This window comes from Homo sapiens, chromosome 5 (genome assembly GCF_000001405.40).
Source record: "Homo sapiens chromosome 5, GRCh38.p14 Primary Assembly".
Lineage (NCBI taxonomy): Eukaryota > Metazoa > Chordata > Mammalia > Primates > Hominidae > Homo > Homo sapiens.
This window is the reverse complement of record NC_000005.10, coordinates 162,035,772-162,038,591: the sequence shown is the minus strand read 5'-3', so window position 1 is coordinate 162,038,591 and position 2,820 is coordinate 162,035,772. Positions and strand designations below refer to the sequence as shown.

The 2,820-nt window shown below is 41.1% G+C and overlaps 1 annotated feature.

The window, feature by feature from the left end:
- Positions 1,893-2,499: an enhancer, noted in NCBI's record as "OCT4-NANOG-H3K27ac-H3K4me1 hESC enhancer chr5:161463099-161463705 (GRCh37/hg19 assembly coordinates)". NCBI's record gives its function as "activates a minimal SCP1, AML or CMV promoter by ChIP-STARR-seq in naive and primed H9 embryonic stem cells {active_cell/tissue: H9 hESC(naive and primed)}" and the evidence as "EXISTENCE:reporter gene assay evidence [ECO:0000049][PMID:30033119]".

Sequence of the window (2,820 nt, the reverse complement as noted above, 5' to 3'; positions counted from 1 at the left end):
TTAGGGATTCAATTTCCAACACATGAATATCTGTGGGACACATTAAAACAATAGTAGCTTCTGTGCCCATTCTGCTACTCCATGATATATGCTAATATTCTATTAACACATCCTGGATTTTCTAATTACCATACCTTTTTAGAGACAGGTACAGAATAGAATAGAATAACTTGTAGCAGCATTTCCCAAAGTCCATTCCACAAAATCACTAGTCCTATGAGGTAGATCTTCGAGGGAGGGGAATAACCATCAAAATCAAATGAATTTGAAAAAAAAAATGTGTATAATGTTCCCCATTTAATGAAGAATCAAAATACAGTTTGTTTTACATCCTCTAAATCAGTAGTAAAGGAACCTGTTACCTGTGGTTGACAAGGTATTTCCAAAATTTGTTTGCCCCTGAAAACATGTTTGCAGAATTTGTGTAAAGTGAAATTGATTAGTTAATGAACTGAGCTTGGTTAAATATCTAGCCTAGGCTAGACACGGAGTGTTGAAGACATAGTGAGGTGGAGCTTGGTCATATGACATGTAATACAGAAAGGAGAAACATGAGTGTTTTTGACTTTAATGCTTTCTACTTCCCACAACTCTATTTTGGGGGCCTGATGACTTGACTCTTCTTGTGATTGATAATTTACAATGCAATGGTAGTGATATATTATCAAATAATATGGTTATAATTTATCAAACACATTTCATGGCTTCTGAAGGAAAAAATGATAGCTCAGATAGATAAAAGTATTGAGCCAATTTCAATGTTATTCCAAGTCCTTGGATGGTACCAGTAGGCAGGTCACATGTGTGCATGCACACACACACACACACACACACACAGATGTGCATCTACTCGCAATGAAACACAGTCTTAGATTTGGCTGGGGATCTAGCTATGTGAGAATCAAAATGCAAGCAATTCTTCTTCTGAACAGGTTTTTAAATGCAGTATATGCCAGAAATAAAATCCAGAGTTAGCCAAATTTTTCTTCATGTCAACTACACTGTAGGAGATAAATAGGTCATCATAGTAGCTAATGCCAGGAGTCCAAAATTATTCTCTTTTTTTATTACTTCTAAAATTTTGTTTGGGGTTTAATTTTTTAATTTATTTTCTTTCTTTTTTATTTCTTCTTCAATGCTTAAGGAGCAATAATATGTTTTAATTATTATAAATACCTATTTAAAACACAAGCATTACACAATTACCTATCATTTTTCATTAAATATTGAGTAGAAACAAAAGGAAATTTATAAAATATGTGTAAAGGATTAAGAATAAAGATATGGTGATGCTCTGTGGGCACAACACTCAGTGTAATTAAAAAATTATTAGCTTAAAATTCTTTGTGTGCCCAATCCCTTTCCCATCTCCTTCTCTCCATGTTCAGGGTACTCATCATATTGAGTTATTTATTTTTCCTTTGCTTCTACTTACTTATATATATTTTTATCTCTAAAAGTTTCCTGTTTTATTTGAAATATGCATCAATAGAATTAAGTTGTATATTCTTCTTCAGTTTTTCTTTTCGCTTGATTTACATCTTGCAGCTCATCCATGTCATTTCATATAGCTATTATTCAGTTGTTTTCTCTGCTGTAGAATAGTCTGTGGAATTAATATATCAAACATTACTTACCGGGGGGAGGAGCCAAGATGGCGGAATATGAACAGCTCCGGTCTACAGCTCCCAGCCTGAGCGACGCAGAAGACGGGTGATTTCTGCATTTCCATCTGAGGTACCGGGTTCATCTCACTAGGGAGTGCCAGACAGTGGGCGCAGGTCAGTGGGTGCGCGCACCATGCGCGAGCCGAAGCAGGGTGAGGCATTGCCTCACTCGGGAAGCTCAAGGGGTCAGGGAGTTCCCTTTCCTAATCAAAGAAAGGGGTGACGGACGGCACTTGGAGAATCGGGTCACTCCCACCCGAATATTGCGCTTTTCCGATGGGCTTAAAAAACGGCGCGCCACGAGATTATATCCGCACCTGGCTCGGAGGGTCCTACACCCACGGAGTCTCGCTGATTGCTAGCACAGCAGTCTGAGATCAAACTGCAAGGCGGCAGCGAGGCTGGGGGAGGGGCGCCCGCCATTGCCCAGGCTTGATTAGGTAAACAAAGCAGCCAGGAAGCGGGAACTGGGTGGAGCCCACCACAGCTCAAGGAGGCCTGCCTGCCTCTGTAGGCTCCACCTCTGGGGGCAGGGCACAGACAAACAAAAAGACAGCAGTAACCTCTGCAGACTTAAATGTCCCTGTCTGACAGCTTTGAAGAGAGCAGTTGTTCTCCCAGTATGCAGCTGGAGATCTGAGAATGGGTAGACTGCCTCCTCAAGTGGGTCCCTGACCCCTGACCCCCGATCAGCCTAACTGGGAGGCACCCTCCAGCAGGGGCACACTGACACCTCACACTGCAGGGTACTCCAGCAGACCTGCAGCTGAGGGTCCTGTCTGTTAGAAGGAAAACTAACAAACAGAAAGGACATCCACACCAAAAACCCGTCTGTACATCACCATCATCAAAGACCAAAAGTAGATAAAACCACAAAGATGGGGAAAAAACAACAGAAAAACTGGAAACTCTAAAAATCAGAGCACCTCTCCTCCTCCAAAGGAACGCAGCTCCTCACCAGCAACGGAACAAAGCTGGATGGAGAATGACTCTGACGAGCTGAGAGAAGAAGGCTTCAGACGATCAAATTACTCTGAGCTACGGGAGGACATTCAAACCAAAGGCAAAGAAGTTGAAAACTTTGAAAAAAATTTAGAAGAATGTATAACTAGAATAACCAATACAGAAAAGTGCTTAAAGGAGCTGATGGAGC